This window comes from Homo sapiens, chromosome 2 (genome assembly GCF_000001405.40).
Source record: "Homo sapiens chromosome 2, GRCh38.p14 Primary Assembly".
NCBI classification, from domain to species: domain Eukaryota; kingdom Metazoa; phylum Chordata; class Mammalia; order Primates; family Hominidae; genus Homo; species Homo sapiens.
Genome location: NC_000002.12, coordinates 55,758,976 through 55,780,234, shown reverse-complemented (window position 1 = coordinate 55,780,234; position 21,259 = coordinate 55,758,976). Strand labels below are relative to the sequence as shown.

Here is a 21,259-nt window from a genome sequence, read left to right as displayed (position 1 = left end):
AGTACCAAGCAAATAAATAGACAGTAGTCCCAGGACCTCCTGTGAATGCCTAAAACCACAGATAGTACTGAACCCTAGAGATACTATGGGTTTTTTTCCTGTATGTACATATCTATGATACAGTTTAATTTATAAATAAGGCACAGTAAGAGTTAACAACAATAACTAATAATCAAATAGAACAACTAGAACAATATACCATAACACAAGTAATGTAAATGTAGTCTCTGTCTGTCTTTCCCTCTCAAATATCGTATTGTACTATACTTACCCTTCTTCTTATGATCTGCCAATCTGATTACCTAGATGGCTACTAAGTGACTAACAGATGAGGAATGCAGACAGCGTAGATCCGCTGGACGAAAGGATGATTCACATTCCAAGCAGGTTGGAGCAGGATGGCGAGAGATTTTATCATACTACTCAAAATGGCACACAATGTAAAACTTGTGAACAGTTTATTTCTGGAATTTCCCATTTAATATTTTCAGACCACAGTTGACTGCAGGTAACTGAAACCACAGAAAGCAAAACCACCAAAAAGGGAGAACTAGTGTGCAAATGTGTGTGTGTGTGTGTGTGTACATTTCCAATCTGTGATAGATGCTGTGACAGATTTATGTGATGGGGGATAGCAAGAACGACCTATTGAAGGGGGAGAGGAGTGAAAAACATGAAAAGCAGAGGAGGCTACATGTGTGTCCTGAAGGAACTGAGGGAAAGACAAATGCGGCTGAACAAGTGACCATAGGGCCAGTGGCAAGAAACAAGGGTAGAGGTATGTGGGGGACAGATAGCACAAGACCTTGTAGAAATTTGGATTCCTTTCTAAGTGAAGGACAAAACAGGGGATGTGAGGGGACATCACCTTGTTTATGGCTGCTGGATGAAGAACAGATTTGAGGTGGTTCAAGAGTAGAAACTAGGAGACCAACTAGGAGACTGTTGCCTTCTGAAAAACCAAGGTTTGTTAAAAAATAATCAGAAAAGATAAAAAAAAAATTCCCTTCAAAATATGTCTTGGCATTGGGGGAGGAGGAACCTCTTCATATTACATAATATTGTCTGATATCATAGTATGTTTATTAATTTATATGACTGTTTATCTGCTCAGCACCTGTCTTTCCTATTAGAAAGTAAGCTCCATGAGGATAGGAACTGTGCCTTGTTCATTCCTGTATCCTCAGGATATGGAACTGCACCTGCCACACAGATTCTCAATAAATACTTGCTGAATGGATGAACCATACATTTAATTCTTTTATAAAGCAAAGGATCCTTGTGTAAAGCAAATCATCATCCTCTTTCTTATCCATTTTGCAAGTCTGGATCTTTATATCAACTGAGAGGAACAAAGAAAGAGTAAACCAAGTCAAATGAAGTCTATTGTTCTGAATCCAGTGACTTCACAGAATGTAAATCCCAGAAAGACAGAGAACGTGAATGTGCTCATTGTATATTTAATGATTAAATTAGTGAAACCAGAGCTCAGGGTACTTATCTGTGGTTCTCAGAATTGTACTTTTTAGCAGATGGTTAACAACTTTACATTTTAAGATGGTATTTTAGCTGTCCATTAAAGCATTTAAACTCATTTAATTTGTCAAGTATCATACCAAGCTGGTTGGCATGAGTTGTACAATAAAAGGCTTCCACCCATTTCAGAAAAAGAACAGTATCATAGCATGGTCTGCAATGAAACTAGGAGAGTGATCCATCCCACCCACGTCAAAGGTTTCTCCTCCCTTAACTCCAGAAATCCCAAAATCTGGATTGAACTGTAGAAGATCATCCCTGGGTACTAAGGTCAGCAAGTTAGCAAGTTTCCGAGCCCCTTCAACTAAAACTGTTCCTTGATGTAGGCTCTACAAGGTTGTATTTTCTGTGGCTGCCATAGAAATGATCACAAACATGGTGGCTTAAAATAACAGAAATGTATTCTCTCACAGTTTTTGGAGCCACAAGTTTAACATCAAGCTATCAGCAAGATTTGATTTCTTCTGGAGGCTCCAAGGGAAAATCCATTCCATGCTTCTCTTCTAGCTCCTAGTGATTGCTGGTAATCCTTGGAATTCCTTGGCTTGTAAGTGCCAATCACTCCTATTCTCTGCCTTGTTCTTTAGACCTCCATCTTATCTGTGTCTTCTCCCCTTCTCTTCTTCTATAAGGACACTTGTCATTGGAGTTAGGGCCCATACTAATCCAGGATGATTTCATCTTAAGATCCTCAACTTAATTACATCTGCAAAAACCTTTTTTCCAAATAAGGTTCACATTCACATGTTGTAGTTGGACCTATCTTTCAGGGGATAACCATGCAACCTACTCTCAGGGCTGAGGCAAGATTAAAGCTAAAAAAACAATGTGCAATTCTAATGAGGCAGTAATCTAAATATGACTAGAGCAGGATTTTTGCAGGAAAAAAAGGCAAATGGTCTTCGTTTTGTGTTGTTTCATCTTGTTTTAGTTGAGTATGAAGTCACAACTCTTTTTTTTTCTAATACACAAAGAAAGGAGGTACCCACTTATTTAATTAATTCTGATGAATCAGTATCAGAGTCCTTTTAGGGGAACCAAGTTTAGGTGGGGGGGTGGGGCGCTGATAATGGAAGTGGGTAGGTGAAGGAGGAAGCCTTACTAGGTATTCTAGGCATGACACCAAGCTCTCCTGGGCATGTCAGGTCCATCAGCTCTGGACTATGTTGCTTTCCCTGCCCTTAGGTTTCCAATCTGAGTTTGCAAAGGCCTTCTCCAAAACTCAAGCTCATCTCTGAATCGCAGGGTACCCAACTAGCAACCTGTACCTGACTAGATGTTGACCTCTTGTATAATCCCTTGATTTAAAGTGCTTGATACTGAACTACATCCCTACTGGGATGAACCCATCATAGCGGCTCAAGGTGAGAGACCTAATCACTTTCCCCGACCATCAAATCCCAAACCTCATGTTTTCTCTTCGATCTGTAGATGCAATAGATTGTACCAAATTCAACAGATGCTTGCATGTTGTCCAGAACCTCTTCCTTTACACACTTCCTTGCAATTTGATGTGGAGGAAATAGCCAACCTTGGCTGAGAGCTTGGGAGACATTACAAGGCACATGAGGCAGAAAGAAGCACTGCCAAGATTTCACTTCTGTTTGTGCTGGTCTCTACTGTGGTTTACAATGAAAAGAACAATTTTAAGAAGGTAAAGTTGGCAGAGCAAAACTGTGTCAATGGTCTACTTTTAGCTTTGAGGAGCACAGCTTTCTTTTTCTTTTTCTAGGAGTACAGTCCTCTGGAAGGTTGAAATTTTTCTCTGGCATAGTACTTCACTAAAATCAATTGTGCAGGTTTAAAATTGTGCTTTTAATGTTATTTTAAGTACCTATTTTATAATTTCAATAAAACCACTCTCAAGCATGAGATAATGCTGATTAATGACACTTCTCTGGATACCAAGAGCTCTCAGTTCTGCCTTGTGCCTCTATGCTCACCTGAGGCATCCCATTAATCGCTGTTATGCCATAGTCTGTCCTATCATATTGCTTAATTACCATTTCTGTTACTCATTCATCTACTCTACTAATCCCCACAGAACAAATTCATCAAACCCTGGGGCTCTGAAGCAACAGTGTTCCTGGTCTTGCCAGAACCTGGCCCTAGAACCACCTTCTTTAGAAAATATGGAAGAATCCCAAGTCTCTTGATGCTCAGGAAAAACCAACCGTAATACACATTGTCTGCACATGGGAATCTTGTCTCCCTTCCTTTTTTGCATACCCGAACCCCATCTACCTTTCAAGGCTCAGCTAAATCTCTGCATCCTCCATGAATTCCTCCTTAGTTAAAGGTCTTATTGCCAATATCATAATCTATATCACTTAATTATTTTTATTCTATTCTTTGTGGCTCGTATATAAATATTAATTCAGCTAGACTGTAAATTTGTTTAGGACAGACTTCATGTTGAATGACCTTTGGTAATAATTAATAAAGTAAATAATAAATAAAAATAACACCAACTATTGTCTCTTCATTATGTACCAGGAACTGGGCTCAGTGGTTTACAAGATTATCTCAATGAATTATATCAACGATCTTTGATGGAACCTCTTTTACTGTCATCTTCACTTCACAGAGGTGAAATTGCCCATGTTCCCATAGTTAATGAATAGTAAAGCCAGTGTACAAACCTAGGCAACCTGAGTCAAAAACCCAAGTGCTAAACCACTAAGCAGCACTGCCTCTTCTCGTAACCTTCACAGTGTTGGGCAGTATGTTAATCACATTACTAATTACTAATTGTTTAACTTAGATGAAAATTCTTACTCCGCAGAGTTGAAAAAAGGAGAACAAATATGTGGGTCTAGATTAGAATAAAGACAAGAGAGGGGAAAAATTCTAAACGTGAAAGACAAAAATAACAATCAGGTATTTGAAGTGGGAGAAAAGTATTCAAGAAACCAGATATACAGAATTCTACCTCCTACAGAGGATATTTCCATACAAAAATTTAAATAAAGTTTTGAAATTTAATAGTAGTATAGTGAAGCCATAATCTTCCTTGATAACAAACTTTTGTTCTAGGAGACCTAATATGAATGGACTAATAGATTAGAACCAGGATGTTTCATGACTGATGAAGTGAACCAGTCACTTCATCACTGACTTATAACCAACATCTATCAATCCTCTTCCCCCCTGCAATCAACAGGAATCATACTTTGCTACTTCTCCTTGTGAGGACCTAAAGGCAAAAATGCAAGTGCTCTGTTCTCTTCCACCAACAACTGTGCAGGAATATGTGCCAAAATACGAATAAACTTTCTAGTCCTGACAACTTATATTCCAATATAAAAATCATCAGGAATAACCATTTGTATTTCACAATATTTAAGACAGACAATCATTAAATCACGGAAGATAATTGTATAATACAATGTATTTTAAGTTTCTGAACCCTTATGCAAACTGTCTTACCATTAGGCAAAACAAGTTACATAGTTGTTAGGGTAGGCTACCTGACAGAGGGCTTCAATTTTACCAGCAACACCTCATATCCCGTTTTTGTGCATATGTATGCTTGTATATACACATAGGAAGAATTTTCACCAAAGTGTTTGTAGTGGTTATCTTTAGGAGATGGAATGTGGGATGTACTTATTTATATGTCATTTTTATAATGATGATGCATACATTTTTACAAAAATAGTACATCTGTAGACCTTTGGCTTAGGAAGTGGTTTAGACCAGTTGACCAGTTAAAATTAAAAACCTGCTTCAACACCTATGAAAAGAGGAGAAAAAAAAATTGAAAACCTGCTGGATATCTGGAACAGTCGAGGCCAGCATCAGACCCATATGCCTTATTATGAAGGTTGAGAGAGTGGGTTTTGTCAGGAATTATACGAAAAGAACAAGAAGACTTTGACTTCTGGGAGTGAGCTGAGGATGGGAATGTCACCCAAAATAAGAAAGGACCTCCCTCTCCCTCTCCCTCTCCCTCTCCCCACGGTCTCCCTCTCTTTCCACGGTCTCCCTCTCATGCGGAGCCGAAGCTGGACTGTACTGCTGCCATCTCGGCTCACTGCAACCTCCCTGCCTGATTCTCCTGCCTCAGCCTGCCGAGTGCCTGCGATTGCAGGCACGCGCCGCCACGCCTGACTGGTTTTGGTGGAGACGGGGTATCGCTGTGTTGGCCGGGCCAGTCTCCAGCCCCTAACCGCGAGTGATCCGCCAGCCTCGGCCTCCCGAGGTGCCGGGATTGCAGACGGAGTCTCGTTCACTCAGTGCTCAATGGTGCCCAGGCTGGAGTGCAGTGGCGTGATCTCGGCTCGCTACAACCTACACCTCCCAGCCGCCTGCCTTGGCCTCCCAAAGTGCCGAGATTGCAGCCTCTGCCCGGCCACCACCCCGTCTGGGAAGTGAGGAGTGTCTCTGCCTGGCCGCCCATCGTCTGGGATGTGAGGAGCCCCTCTGCCTGGCTGCCTAGTCTGGAAAGTGAGGAGCGTCTCCACCCGGCCGCCATCCCATCTAGGAAGTGAGGAGCGCCTCTTCCCAGCCGCCATCACATCTAGGAAGTGAGGAGCATCTCTGCCCGGCCGCCCATCGTCTGAGATGTGGGGAGCGCCTCTGCCCCGCCGCCCCATCTGGGATGTGAGGAGCGCCTCTGCCCGGCCGCGACCCCGTCTGGGAGGTGAGGAGCGTCTCTGCCCGGCCGCCCCGTCTGAGAAGTGAGGAGACCCTCTGCCTGGCAACCACCCCGTCTGAGAAGTGAGGAGCCCCTCCGCCCAGCAGCCGCCCCGTCTGAGAAGTGAGGAGCCTCTCCGCCCGGCAGCCACCCCATCTGGGAAGTGAGGAGCGTCTCTGCCCGGCAGCCACCCCGTCCGGGAGGGAGGTTGGGGGGGTCAGCCCCCCGCCCGGCCAGCCGCCCCGTCCGGGAGGGAGGTGGGGGTGTCAGCCCCCCGCCCGGCCAGCCGCCCCGTCCGGGAGGGAGGTGGGGGGATCAGCCCCCCCGCCCGGCCAGCCGCCCCGTCCGGGAGGTGAGGGGCGCCTCTGCCTGGCCGCCCCTACTGGGAAGTGAGGAGCCCCTCTGCCTGGCCAGCCGCCCCGTCCGGGAGGGAGGTGGGGGGGTCAGCCCCCGCCCGGCCAGCTTCCCCGTCCGGGAGGGAGGTGGGGGGGGTCAGCCCCCCACCCGGCCAGCCGCCCCGTCCGGGAGGTGAGGGGCGCCTCTGCCCGGCCGCCCCTACTGGGAAGTGAGGGGCCCCTCTGTCCGGCCACCACCCAGTCTGGGAGGTGTGTCCAACAGCTCATTGAGAACGGGCCAGGATGACAATGGCGGCTTTGTGGAATAGAAAGGGGGGAAAGGTGGGGAAAAGATTGAGAAATCGGATGGTTGCCGTGTCTGTGTAGAAAGAAGTAGACATGGGAGACTTTTCATTTTGTTCTGCGCTAAGAAAAATTCTTCTGCCTTGGGATCTTGTTGATCTGTGACCTTACCCCCAACCCTGTGCTCTCTGAAACATGTGCTGTGTCCACTCAGGGTTAAATGGATTAAGGGCAGTGCGAGATGTGCTTTGTTAAACAGATGTTTGAAGGCAGCATGCTCGTTAAGAGTCATCACCACTCCCTAATCTCAAGTAATCAGGGACACAAACACTGTGGAAGGCCACAGGGTCCTCTGCCTAGGAAAACCAGAGACTTTTGTTCACTTGTTTATCTGCTGACCTTCCCTTCACTATTGTCCCATGACCTTGCCAAATCCCCCTCTGTGAGAAACACCCAAGAATTATCAATAAAAAAATAAATTAAAAAAAAAAAAAAAAGAAAGGACCTACCATGCACAGCCAAGGAACACCATCGATTTGCTTTGCCTCCTTCGCATTGTTACATAAACCTGGAAACAGGCATTGTCAGGAAAAAGGAAGTTAGCATATTCAAACTCTAATTCAGATTCCAACACTCATTAATCATAGAAATTTGAAAATTAGACACAGTGAGGACAAAGAGCACATTCTAAGTGAATACCAAAGGAACACTTACTATCTCCTTCCTCAATTCAATGCATTTTTGCTTTCTTTGGTGTATATGACAACTGTTTGCTCATGCTCACAACAAAAGCACTAACTGTGCATACAATCACTCAGTGTTTTGGTTTTATATTGCCTCTTCTGTGTATGATTTTTTTTCCTTAGCTAATTATTGTCTTCAGAACCGAACCACATTTCAGGAAACAGCAGATTTCCTCACACCATCTATAAGAGGGCGGGGCAACATAAGAGGCACTGGGTAAATACCATTTTTCATTAACACCTAGGATTTACTTTTTCGCATTCCTCCAAGGCACAGGAATGAGAAAAAGAAAATCAAGTGGGAGAATTCAATTCTACAAACAATTCCTGTAGCCCTAATAAGCGCACAGTATTGTGCTGTAGCCCTGTCCTACAGAGGTACATAAAAAGCTTTTCAGTCATTGTCATATAGGTCTTCAGAACACCCAGGTGAGATAAATAATTAGCAAATGAGGAGCTGCAATAAGTAGCATGCATAAGCCAGCGGAGAGAGAACTTGTCCTGTGTATTTGGGGACTTGTGGAAAACAGAGGCCTCCTATCTCCCAGACTTATATTCTATCCACTTTGGAAAAGCTTCTCCAATTCCAATTTGTACCCAAAAATCTATCCCAAGAGTAATTTATTTCTAATTATTCCTGACATTGGCACAATTAGAGGACCTCCGAAAAATCTTCTAAACATTTGCCTCTTGTATATAAAATCTCATTCAGAATAATGATTCTAAATGCAAGGAAATTTTGCTGATTACATCCCTACTTTATCTAAATTATTATTCAGTGCTCCAGTTTTCCATAAACTTTTCTTTAACCTCCTATAATTACTGTAGCTACAAAAAAGCCTTGGATTAGCTAACTTGTGCCATCTAAAGGTTATAGTAAGAACTTCTTTAGCCATGAAAAAAAAAATATTCGCAGCAGACTTTCTACAAAATGAATTTGAAAAAATTGTTTTGTGTAAGGTTTAAATATAAAACAGGTAACAACGGTTTGAGCATATGTTATTGATATTATTTCAAATTAAGATAAAGGAAAAAATCAAGAAACCTCTGGAAGTCTTAGCTTTATCAATCGTGGGATCTTAGGCAAATTATTTTAACCTCTCTGACCTCATTTCTCATTTATAAGACAAAAAGTCTGAACGTGATTTCAAAAGAAACCTGCTAATGTAATTTTTTAATTTTATGAAATGAAAAACTTAAATTTCTAAGTACGTGAAATTCAAAGAAATGGGTAGGTTAAAAGTGGGTTAGTGTATTAAGACAGAAGTGAAATAAGCTCAAAGATTTTACAGTCCTTTCTCTTCTTTTCAAATAAATATTGTAATTCACAGGATCCCGTGTGTGTGTGTGTGTGTGTGTGTGTGGTGTTGTATATAAACACTTTGACAGATACTGGCCAGCTGTTCATCAAACGATTGCCTCTTTTCTGGGAATATGGTGGTGTACATTTTCCAGGCTCCCTCACAATTAGACTCTGACAATGTGATTGAGTTCTCCCCAAAGGAATGTAATTAGAAACATGTATGCCACTTCCATGTCAAGCCCATAAAAACTTCACATGTATGACCGTCCATGCTCTTCCTCCTTCTGCTGCTTGATGTGGACATGTGTGACAACTTTGAGAGGAACTGGGTGTCCCAGTTATCACTTGGAGGAGATTCACCTCTCTACCAGAAAAACCCATATAGAATTGTATGTGAACAAGAAATAAACTTATTTTATGTGTTAGCCATTATATATCCGTGGCTTTGTTACATCAGTTAGCCTCTAATAAAACAAGTATTTTGAATTCAAATTGGCCAAGGACAGATTTATGCTCCTTCCTTCTGGGATCCCCTTAAAAAAATGCCAGATCTAAAATCATGTGAGACATATGACTTTCTAATTTTACTTGTGCTGTGAACTTAAATAAGAATGTGCAAATCTTGTCACCTCAAGAAAGGAAAAGAAGAAAGCACCAGGAGCCATTTTAAATAGGATGACACAATCCGAGCTACAAGGAAAGTAGAAACAGCCTCTAAGGTAGCCCTGAAGTGGCTCAGTGCCTAGTACAATGTCTTCTTGCACATAACTCATGTTCAAAAATATTTCTTGAATGAAACGAATGAATGAATGAATGGCTCACAAATCTAATTATTTCTGAAGTAGACTATGAAAAAAGGATCTATTATGTGTGCCATAGAATGGCTGGATTTTAATGCATTTAGGACAAGATTGTTATCAGCAATATCTGTCAGTGTAAAAGAAAAATTCTATTCATAGTCGGTCATGGTGGTGGGTGCCTGTAACCCCAGCTACTTGGGAGGCTGAGGCAGGAGAATCACTTGAACCCAGGAGGCAGAGATTGTAGTGAGTCGAGATTGCACCACTGCACTCCAGCCTGGGAGGAAGAAAGAAAGAGAGAAAAAAAGGAAGGAAGGAAGGGAGAAGGGAGGGAGGGAGGGAGGGAGGGAAAAAGAAAGAGAGAGAGAGAAGGAAAGAAAGAAAGAAAGAAAGAAAGAAAGAAAGAAAGAAAGAGAAAAAGGAAGGAAGGAAGGAAGGAAGGAGGGAGGGAGGGAAAGGAAGAAAGAAAGAGAGAAGGAAGGGAGGGAGGGAAAGAAAGAGAGAGAGGAGGAAGGGAGGGAGGGAAGGAAGAAAAAAAGAAAGAAAGAAAAGAAAGAAAGACGAAAAGAAAGAAAAGATTCTATTCATAATCCATACTCTACTGACTTGTTGGTCCATCAGTAAGCTGGGGTATTTGAACATTCACTCAATAAACCCAGCCTAAGCTTCTACCATGAGCCAGGCTGTGTTCTGCCCCCAGGGGTGCATGTCCCCTCTCTCTAGCGCTCCCCACTTGGAACCTGAAAACTTTACAGGGAACCTCAGCAGGCTCCCAGCCTCCTCTGGGTTCTTCAGTGTTATCACCCTCATGCGTAGAGTAGGACTGGCACAATGATTCAGAGCACACTCTTGAGTAAGAACACCTAGGTGAAAACTTGCCTCTGAAATTATTATTGGCAGTTTGGGAAAGTTACTAAAGCTCTCCTTCCCTGTAAGTAGGAATACTAACAACACCCACTCCTCTGGTTGAGGATTCTTTGAGAAACTCCAAGTTTAGCACACTGCTTGGCACATACTAAGTTAAATCTCAGTGAGGCTTAGATATTTCTCTTCTTTGAGAAGATAAGACTTTAAGATGGTAAGAACTAGTTGAAATAACACCATAGAGCAAATCATAATTCCTAGGTTGTAGTTTCAGGACTGCTGCTAAATAGATATTTTAATGTCATTTAATGTCCCTGAGTCTCAATTTTCTTATCATTTAAATGAGAGGGATGGCCAGACAACTTGCATTTTTTCTCTCAGCTCTATGATTTAATGACTTATGTCTTACTCAGGTCTCTGTAATCTAATGCTCAACACTTTGTTCTATTCATAAAGTACAGGCAGACAATTCCATAACCTCCCTCTGACACCTACTCCAATTATTTTAAGCCATGAGAGTTCACTTCTGGCATCTTTGCCATATGGGAAAATGTGTAAGAGGAAAGGCAGGTGGAGCCCAACGGGACTCCAATGCCCTATCAAACACCCTGAGGGCAGATGTTATGGCCAAGCGTGTGTGATCCACAGACACATCTGCAGAGAGCATCAGTATCTCTCAGAAGCTGCCACATTCATCTCCTAGCAAAGTACCTCAGGCATAAATAGTAGAATTCTAAGCACAGAAAGCACTCCAGAAATATCTGTTGCTTTGTTGATGTAGAACCCTCATTTTCTGATCCTAATGAACTGCATTTAAAGAAACTAGGGGAATAAGTATGTTTCTTGCTTCAAGCAAGGAATTATATAATTTGTTTTTCTAGAGCCAGCACATAGTAGATTCTCAATATGTGTGTGTTTGATGAATTTAATCATTGTGAATCTTCTGGCCCTGTGTTGAGGAATTCAAGCTACCAGAATCTTAATTTAGGATTTATGTCTCTCTTAATAAAGCTTGTGGTTTATCATTATAATAATGTGCCTCAATGAATCACTTCTCCCTGTGCCTGTGCCCCTTTTTCAATGTGACATTGCTGTTTCTCTGATGAAAAGGTGAGACTTTTTCCTCATCCCTTTGAATCTGGGCTGGCTTTGTAACTTGCTTTGACCTTTAGAATGTAATAGAGGTGACACTGTGAAAGTTCCAGACCTTCGACCTCAAGACTCCTTAGAGCTTCTACCTTTGCTCTGTTAGGACCCAGCCACCATGGAAAAAATCTTGGGGTTAAATGCCAAGGAAAGACTCTGTGAAGAAGGAGGTCCTACCTTTGCAATCATCCCTGTCAAGGTCCCAAACATGATGGTGAGACCATCTTAGACTCTCCAGCTCCAGTAGAACCAGCTCTGTGAGGGAATCTGAGCAAGACCAGTAGAAGAACTGCCCAGTCAATCTGCAGAGTCATGAGATACAGTAAATTGTCATTGTCTTAAAACACTGAGTGTTGGGGTAGCTTGTTACACAGTAATGAGTAGTCAATACAAAACTATTTCTGAACCCTAATCAGAACAGTCCCAAAAGAAGAGGTTTTATAAAAATTTGACTATAACAGCAGTTCTATGAGACAGAGAAGGGGGAAAAAGGGGCAAAATATTAAATACATAAAATACCAGATTAAGTCAATATGCAAATTATGCAGGAAATAAAATTCCGAAATTAAATAACACACTAAATCTATTAGTTTTGGGGCTCCATAGAAAACAGTTTCCAAACTGTAGACTTTTTAATTAATCCATTATTTATTAGTTATTACTCAGTGTTTTAGTTATCTATTTCTGCATAACAAATCACCTAAAAGCTTAGTGTCTAAAAGGATAATAGTCATATATTATTCTCATAATTTCTGGGGCTCATGTATATGGGGGAGGCTTAGTTGGGCAGTTGTGACTCAGGGTGTCTCATAACTTTGCAGTCAAGGTGTATGTAAGGACTACAATCATCTGAAGGCTTGATTGGGGCTGAAGGATCCACTTTGAGATGTCTTGCTCATGTGGCTGGCAAATTTGCTCCTCTCCTTTTGGGCCTCTCCTTGCAGCTCTGTGTGTCTTCACCACATAGCAGCTGGCTTCCCCCAGAAGCAGAGAGATTCAAGAGATCAAGGGAGAAGCTGAAATGCCTTTTATAACCTAGCCTCCAAAGTCTAACATCTTCACATCTGTCCATATTCTATATGGGCACACAGAGCAGCTCTGACTTAATATAGGATGGTACTACATAAGGGCAAGGATTAGTGTGGATCCTTTTAGGGGACCTCTATTGCCAAAAAAATTGAGAGCTCATACTAAAAATGCATATGCATCAGAATCATTAAAAATAATGTTAGAAAGTCAAATCAGAAACCATAAAGAGGCAAGAAGGGAACTATTTGTGCCTGGGCCTTCAGGTAAGATATTTATTACAAGTCTACAATTTCTTAGGAAAAACCCTTGAGAGCAGATATGTTTCAGAATTTACAACTTTTTTATTCCAGAAAGGTTAAGAGATACATATACCATATATTACACAATACCCTCCAGTAAGGCCAGGAGCAACAATGTAAAATCAATCACATTGTTATTTATACCACAAAATGTGTGAATTTTAAAACTAAGTAGAATAAAGACTTTAAGTGGTCTCACAACCATTTAGGTCAGATTTTGACAACAAAAATTTTTTTTAAGCCTGGGTTTTTAGAGCTTTTTGGGTTTCTGAATTGTGGATAAAGGATTGTGAGCCTGGAGAAGTTGTGAGCTCACAGGTTCAGGACATATGGCTACAGACTGCCCTAGATTTCATGCATCCATCCTTATTTCCAGGCCTTGCTTCCCACCAACGCCCTTGTACTGCTGATCAAGTTTGTCACAAACTCAAATTCTCAAAGCTGATCCATTCATATTTAGGGTCTCCTGATGTCATATTTCTATGCCATAGATTTTGATTTGGAAGTTAGCTTTTCATAGTGCCCAGCTTATCCCCAGTCTTGGTTTTCAGGTTTGTAACCACCGTTTAACACTGACAATGTGTGTTATCCGTTGCATTGCTTAAAAAGTAAGATAGTTATCAAACTTTAATCATCAATTTAACTGAGTTTCCTAACAACCAAGACAAAAAAGCATAGAAGTTGTTTGAAAGAAACTGATGTTTTCCTTACATCAAATCCTGATAGGAATTTTGTCAAATATCCTATCATAAATACATATTTCTCATCTGATAATGACACATCCAAAGCAAGACACAACATCCCCAGAAGTCACAAAGTAAAGGATCATTCATTTGTATAAAATAAAAATATGAAATTTCTAAGCAGAGTTAAAAGACAACTGACAGACTTGGAAGTTTTACAGCATGTAAAATAAAGAATTAATGAGAACTCTCCAAGTTAATAGGAAAAGGACAAAAAACTAGTGAACAGGAAATTCACAGGAAATACATTTAAATGCCTGATAAACACATGAAAAGATTCCTGACATTGCTAAGAATGAGGAAAATACAATTTTTTTAGGTGAAGTACTAATTTTTATTCATCAGATGGGTGGAAATTCAAAAGTTTGATAATATCAAGTTTTTACAAGGGTGTAGGGAATAGCACTCTCACACTCTTATCTGTGGACATATAAATGGTACAAACTTTGCAAAGGTTATTTTGGCAATATCCATCTCAATATAAATACAAATACCCTTTAACCATTTATTACAATTCTAGGATTCTATTAGCATATGACATGGTTTGGCTGTGTCCACACCCAAATCTCATCTTGAATTGTAACTCCCACAATTCCCACATGTCATGGGAGGAGCCCAGCGGGAGGTGACTGGATTATGGGGGTGGGTCCTTCCTGCGCTGTTCTCATGATAGTGAATGAGTCTCATAAGATCTGATGGTTTTAAAAACAAGAGTTTCCCTGCATAAGCTCTCTCTTTGCCTGCTGCCATCCACATAAGATGTGACTTGCTCCTCCTTGCCTTTTGCCATGATTGTAAGGCCTCCCCAGCCATGTGGAAATGTAAGTCCATGAAACCTCTTTCTTTTGTAAATTACTGAGTCTCAGGTATGTCTTTATGAGCAGCATGAAAATGGACTAATTCAGCATATATCCACAAAAACACAAGTAGTAGGAGTTTAACTACAGCATTTCTTGAAACAGTGAAAAATGTGAACAACCTAACTTTCCATTAATAGTGAAGTGTTTAAAAAAGAAACAACTATGATATAGCCTAGGAGTTAGAAATCTATTGGCCCCTGAGCCAAAAGTGGCCTATATCCTGCCTTTGTACTGTCTCCAAGCTAAGGATGGTTTTTAAAGAATTGAGGACAAGGAGGACAAATAAGAGAAAGAGAAGAAGGAGGAAAAAAAAAATGACAATATGTGACAGAGATCTTAAGTGACCCAGAAAGCCTAAATATTTACTATCTGTCCCTTTACATAAAACATTTGTTATAACCATGAAGATGAAGGGAAAATTAGGGTAACTATGGTTAACCTAATTGCCAAGCAGTGAAATTAACAAATTTATCCTATTCCTATCATCTTTAAGGCTACTGTGCCACTATCCGATAGCATTTAAAGATATAACTCTCTCAGTGCCCCTTTGAAAGTTCGTGAGGCATTTAAAACATAAGCCCCATTTAAAAACACACACACACTAACTCAAAGTGGCTGTCTGTACTGATCACTATCACTAACGAGTGGTTATCTATGGTTCATGGCTCTCAGTTGACCAATGTTGATATCACAAAACCATAGTTTCACAGAATTAAGAGACCCCAGAAACTCATATAGTTTGAATCTTAATCTTATGCCTGGATCCTCTTCACAGAGTTCCTAACAAACAGCTGGCAAGAACTTACCCTGATGAGGGCCATTCCAGTATGAAACAACATTGAACGGGGGAATGGTGCACAGAGGCACATACACCAGGTACAATCAGAGACTTGTGAAATGTTCACATTTTGGTTTACTGAATGATTAATAAGATAGCAGACTCTAAACACCTGAAGTAAAAAGAGGCTACCAAGAGAAGTTTTGTGGGAAAAATCTGCGACACTCACTACTTACTTCACATAAAAGCAATGAATAACCTGTTTCTAAAACTACAGGAATTAACCCAGGTGTTCTGGATGTGGTGATCTAGGGCCAGCATATGCAATGCAGGTGTTTTAAGTTCTGTTAGAGAGCACTACTATGGAAGTTCCTTTCATTTCAAAGATTTTTAGTTATCATTTGTAGATTAGCCTCAGTGGTTGACTTAGAAGGTGAGGAGACAGATCATTCCCTGGTTGGGGAATGCAAAACTAAGTGATCCGTTAGAAAAGAGACATCTCTGACACCAGGACTTGCTTTGGTGTTTTGCAGTAGGAAGAAGATTGCTCTTGGAGACGATTCTACTCCCAACTCCCCTCTCATGGCACTCTTCTGCAACTTACCAAGTGTAACCTCTTAGCCTCTGTTATTTTATCCATAAAGTAGGAATTTATACCTTGCCTGGCCAAAAGTGGGATTGAGGCGGATTACTTCATGAGGGCCTACCTGACAACAAGACCTATGATTCTGGCTTAAATTCCAAAGTTACCATGTTTTTAACTTTTTGCCACAAGACAGGAGTCATTCTCTCCCTGTTCTAATGATTTAGTAATCCTAAGCAAGGCAACAGGCATGAGTTATGCTGACTATTCATGTCTTCTTGATTCATGAGTTTGTGAATTTTAATCATAATCACTTTTCACCAGAGGTAGAGAATCTAGTAAAGTGAGTAGTAGGAGGAAAACCTCAAACTGTGTTCTGTTTACTCCATAAAAAAAAAAAAAAACATGGCTGACATTTTCTTACTCAATAGGACCTTGCCTGTAAAGATTGCTTTGCAACTGACAAGATCCAGGCAAAATAAGCAGCCGTGTCTCTACTTTCACATGTGGAAACTAGTACCAGCTCTACAACCCAGATCTCCTGGCACCTCCAAGAGCTATCTTTCCATTATTTTCACCTCCAGACTTCCATTAAATGATCCTGAACTACTGCAAATAAGAATTTAAAGGCTTTTAGGGGGGAAAAACTCAAAATCTATTCTAGCCACTGTGCTGAAAAGAACATAAACCTTCGAGAAGGACAGACCTAGTGTTCCTCACTCCCAGTTACCTTAAATACTTCTAATTCTCTCAGTTCTCATTTAATTTATAAAATGAGGAATGTGATACCTCCCTCACATGGTAGTTAGCAGAATTAAATAAGATGATATATGTAAGTGTAGGTAGATAGTGGATTCTCTATCAATACTAAATCCCTTAATAATCTCAGCATTCAAGAAATTCGACTTTAGGCCAGGTGGGATGGTTCACGCCTCCAATCCCAACACTTTGAGGACCAAGGCAAGAGGATCTCTGAGGCCAGGAATTCAAGACCAGCTTAGGCAATATAGTGAGACCACCCCCAACCCCGACTCCATCTCTACAAAAAAAATTTTAAAAACTAGCCAGGCATAGTGGCACGTGCCTATAGTCCCAGCTACTCAGGAGGCTGAGATGACAGGATCCCTTGAGCCCAGGAGGTCAGTGAGCTGTGACCATGCCATAGCACTAGAGCCTGGGTAACAGAGAGAGACCTGTCTTTAAAAAAAGGAAAGAAGGAAGGAATTAAAGAAAAAGAAAGAAAATAAATTCTACTTTATTTTGGGCTTAAATCTTTCCTGTTACATTTTTTTTTCTTTTCACACTGTGGAAGATGTGTGTGTGTGTGTAAATCTTTAGTACCTCAATGTATTGTAAGTTTTAGAGTATGAAGGGAGGCTGGGCATGGTGGCTTATGCCTGTAATCCCTGCACTTTGGGAGGCTGAGGCAGGCAGGTTGCTTGACCCCAGGAGTTTAAGACCAGCCTGGGCAACATGGCGTAACCCTATTCTACAAAAAATATATAAAAATTAGCCAGGCGTAGTGCTGCATGCCTGTAGTCCAAGCTACTCAGGGGGTGAGGCAGGTGGATCAATTGAACCCAGGAGGTCAAGGCGGTAGTGAACTGTGATCATGCTACTGCACTCCAGCCTGGGTGACAGAGTGAGAAGAAAGGAAGAAAGGAAGAAAGGGTGAAAGGGAGAGAGAGAGAGAGACAGAGACAGAGAGAGAGACAGAGAAAGGAAGGAAGGAAGGGGAGAGAGAGAGAGAGAGAAAGAGAAAGAAAGAAAAGAAAGAAAGAGAGAGAGAGAAAGAAAGAAAGAAAGAAAGAAAGAAAGAAAGAAAGAAAGAAGAAAGAGAGAAAGGAAATCTGAATATAAACTCTACATCAAGTTAGCGATCCTGATCTTAAGCCTAGCATAGACAGTATGATACTCTATAACTCATTGAGGACCGAGGCAAGAGGATCTCTGAGGCCAGGCATTTATGGGAGGCTCCTTGTGTCATATCAGGGAAGAGAAGCCCTGAATAACCAAGAAACAAAGAAAAAAAAGAGACCTGAATCACTTGCTGTTGGGTTTTTGTTTGTTTGTTTGTTTAATAATTGTAGCAGATGAAAAAGTAGTGGAAAGATCCTAACAGGCAAAGTGCTACCCATTTGCATCTTGTACAGCATTGTTTAAACTCTGAAAACAGGGGGAATTGATTCCTCTGCCCAGATTTCCCCTGATAGTGGCAGTTTAAAAACAAAACAAAACTGGACTTGACTCTCACAAAATATTTTCCTTAAAAGCCTTGCAAAAGATCCTAATGGTTTTCAAAGGCCAGGCCTCAAAAGCAAAATGATTTTGCAAAAGCCAACTCTGGTTTTGTTGAAACTACCATGGCCAAATGAAAACTTCACCCATCTTTCATGAGTTAAAGCAGCAGCAGAGCAGCATACCAAGCAAATGGCAAGGCTACGGTCAATGTAACTTACATTGAGAAAATAATGACAGTTCAGATTTGAAGGAGCTCAGAGTCAAGCTTTATCCCCAAACAGAGACTCATTAAGCACATAGTGTACTAACCACAGCATACCCTACAGGGATAAATTCAGAACTCTTGGCATATGAGATGTTAGGGCTGGAGCAACTCTGAACTTCTTTTACAAAGGCATGAAAAACATGAGAAGCATGCCTCTGAACCTGAGCCAACACATAAGACTGCCATGCCCTCCTGTTTGGGCAAGAAATTGAAAAACACTTAACCTTCGGATGGTTATCTGTCCTCATTATGTTATTCCAATCCGTAAAATTCTGAAGATGGAAAACTAAAGCTAAAATTTGAGTAACTGGGAATAGGGTGAGGAAGACCCTATATCTAAACTCAACTTCACATTGCCAATTACTATCACTAATATTACTACTCTTACCTCTTCTAGCAGTAGACTTCAGTGGGTACTACAGGTTTATTTGCCAAAAAATTGCATAGATATGTTTTGGAAAAAAATACTGTGTTTGAGGAGCAAATGATATGAGGCAACAATGCTTGTTGGAAAAAACACAATGAAAAGAAAAAGGAAACAGCAATCCAAGGAAATTGAAAAACTAGGATAAACAAAGTGAGTGATGAAATCACATAGTGAGGAAATCCATAAAGCAAGATTAGGACATGCACACAGAGAAATAAATATAAAATGGAGAAGGGAAAAAGCAAAGAGCAGACATAAGAAAAATTTTTAAATGACAAAGGAAGAGAAAAGGGCATAGGAAGACAGGGTTAGAGGAAGTGAGGGACTAAGCACTTGTAGGACAAGAAGAACACACTTGCAAACATTTCAAAAGGCACCCAGGTAATGGGACAAAATGATCTTGGAAAATGTTTGTCTTTGAGATGTTTTACATTTGCATTATTTGGTCCTGTATAAATTGCAGCAAATAAGGTATTTTTAATTGTGTTCAAGTACTAGACAATGTAAGTCAGACTTTTTAAACTATCAATGTATAATTATGCCTCAGAACTTTTTCCCCAATAAGCATATAAGCAGTTGAAGTCAATATAAAGTTACTATGATGGAAAAATACAATGAGTATTAAGGAGTCCTGTGGGGGTAATTGTGCATGAAAGAACACAAAAACACCTAACCTTTCCCCTTGGAGAAATATTAGGAATTTCAAATAGAGGAGAACACAGTCTAAGTGTCAAGCAAGCTTAATATCTTGCCCTTATGCGTAATAGAAGCAAAATTAGACTCATACTTAACTGGTCCATTTCTCAAAGAGTAATTATTTCATCATACCATTCTAAAGCCATCTTAATATAGAAATTTTTAACACAGAAACTCAAAGACTGTAGCCAGTAAGCCAGCCACAATGGCACACATATGTAGTCCCAGCTACTCAGAGTATTGCTTGTGCCCAGGAGTTCGAGACTCGCCTGGGCAATGCAGTGAGACACTGTCTCTTAAATAAATAAATAAATAAATAAATAAATAAATAAATAAATAAAGCCTGCAGCCAGTAATGTGAACAGATAAAAAAAATTACAACTTCTAATAATATCTTCCCAAATTTTGAAGCCAGCTTTTCTTTTCTTATTTAACATCTAAAATGTTGTGGTATGCAGAATTTTGGCATGCATTTTAATCTTTGCCCCTGGGATTACTTCTATGGTTATGGTTCATTACATGGTAAAAGGATGTTAATGATCTAATGAAGGTTTCTAATCGCCTGACCCTAAAATAGAGAAATTATTCTGGATTATCCAAGGGGACCCCAAATAATCACATTTACCCTTAAAAGCAGGAGAGGAAGTCAGAGAGATGCAATAGAAAAGGGAGTCAAAGGAATTGAAAGTATGAGAAAGATGTAATGTGCTGTTGTGGGCTCGAAGGTGAAGGGGGCCATGTAGGAGGCATGAGTATAGGAACTGAATTCTGACAACAACCTGAATAAGTTTGTGCTTTAAAATGTAAGTCCTATTATTATTCAGGTATGGTGGGCCAAAAGATCAGAAGACAGTTGTCATTAAAAAGACAGTTTGTTACAGCTGCCAAAAGGAGGGGGCACGCCACACCACACAGGGAAGCACCAGGGTTGGTCAGGACACAAGAATCCTAATTGTGGTTTCCATAGGAAGAAATGGGTGAGGCAGAGTATGAAGGTTTAGAACTGGCTAGTTAGAAAAATTACATTGGGTTCTGGAGAATAGAGGTTTTCCCCACGTGCCTGGTACCTGGGCCCTGGGATAATTGTGCAAGTGGAAAGAGGTCCTGAGTGTGAGTCTGATAAATGAGGTGGTTAGGGTATGGGCTCTGAGTTTGCTAATCTGCATATGAAAGGTACACTCAAAGGCAAGTCATTTACTATCTCTAGGAATTGGCTAGCCCTAGAAGGTACAGGCACGGGAGCGCCAGTAAAGTCCCAGTTGTCAAAGCATCAAAAATACAGAAATAAAAAGGCATGATTAATACCTTGGATACAGCTTGGATACAGATTCTTCCCAATAGCCGCCAAAAAGGAATGCAGCCCTACCAACACCTTGATTTTGGCTTTGTGAGATTCTGAGCAAAGAATCCATGCCACGCCATGCCATGCCAGACTTCTGTTCTACAGATCTGTGAGAAAACAAATGGATATTGTTTTAAGCTGTTAAATTGGTGGCAATTTGTTATGGCAGCAAGAGAAAACTAACACATATGCCAAATCTTCTTTGGGGTATGCTTCTAATTAATTCTCTGGGCATAATATATCCTGCAGTACTTTCTGCCCTTTCACAATTACAATCATACAGAAAAAGGCTAATTAGACAAGCTATGTTTGATGACTATTTTTGAA

General features: G+C 40.7%; 1 long non-coding RNA gene across 1 annotated transcript; it reads right to left on the bottom strand.

Moving 5' to 3' along the window:
- Nucleotides 1-6,853: 6,853 nt before the first annotated feature.
- On the bottom strand, nucleotides 6,854-21,034 carry LOC107985811 (uncharacterized). The gene is made up of 3 exons (XR_001739192.2): nucleotides 20,896-21,034; nucleotides 11,847-11,971; nucleotides 6,854-7,381 (listed from the first exon to the last, which is right to left on the bottom strand). It is a non-coding gene; the product is annotated as an uncharacterized LOC107985811 (long non-coding RNA).
- Between the last annotated feature and the right edge of the window lie 225 nt (nucleotides 21,035-21,259).